The sequence below is a fragment of the Homo sapiens genome, chromosome X (genome assembly GCF_000001405.40).
Source record: "Homo sapiens chromosome X, GRCh38.p14 Primary Assembly".
In the NCBI taxonomy this organism is placed as follows: Eukaryota; Metazoa; Chordata; class Mammalia; order Primates; family Hominidae; genus Homo; species Homo sapiens.
In genome coordinates, this window is record NC_000023.11 from 21,149,975 (window position 1) to 21,150,885 (window position 911).

A 911-nucleotide genomic window follows, 5' to 3' on the forward strand; every position below is an offset into this window, starting at 1 on the left:
GTGTAGGCTTGGGGTGTTCTATAAATATCAGCCACATTTCCCAAAGCTGTCCATGGTTTATACAGAAGACCCCAATTAAACTCAAAACAGCTGAAGGAATAAACCTGTCAAAAAATTCATTTATCATGTACCAGTCAGGTTAGACCATGGAATAAGTCAAATTCTAATTTCCTTAAAGTCATTGAGTCTTCATATTTTGATAAAGTCATGTCCTAAATAGTGAACCCATTTGGTTTTAAACAGTCATATAAACAAGCTTTTTATTTTAGCGGTGCTTGTTCTCATTTGTTTAATTTGATCACACATTTAGGGCAATCAAATGTAAATGAAATCTCCTCTCTCTAAACCTGTAATGCTTTCTGTCACCTCTTCTTTGATATCTAACACATAGACGTTGACTCCCTATGTCAACCTTTGTTTCCTATGTTTCAAAATATTATGACAGGGCTTGAGTCAAAAACGGTGTGCTAAGTTTCAAACCCCTAGTCCCCTAAGGATATCTAGGTTAGAGTGTGGGAAAAAGTGTAGGAGATGACAGTGCTGAATACAGAGTGACTCTGGATTTTCATGAGCAGGTTTATATTCTGTTTACCAAGAGTAGGTAGTCACAAGTTATGGAGAAGAAACATAGTGGCAGTGACAGGTGACTGTCAATAGAATCTAGCTAAGGCCAAAATTTGCCTTAGCAGGCTGAGGTGTCTCCATGGAATAAAATGCTCTGATTTGAAAGATTTATTTCCAAATAAGCTAGTCTTCTGATAAAACTGTCCCTTTTTATTTCTCTAGTTCTGGTACAATGAGTTAAATTCTTATGATTCTTAGCAGGGATTGGATATGAACACTATCTTTGAATTAACAGGACAAGTTTCTCTGAGTGATGTCCTACACAATAAAGACAGAAAGCCAGAATC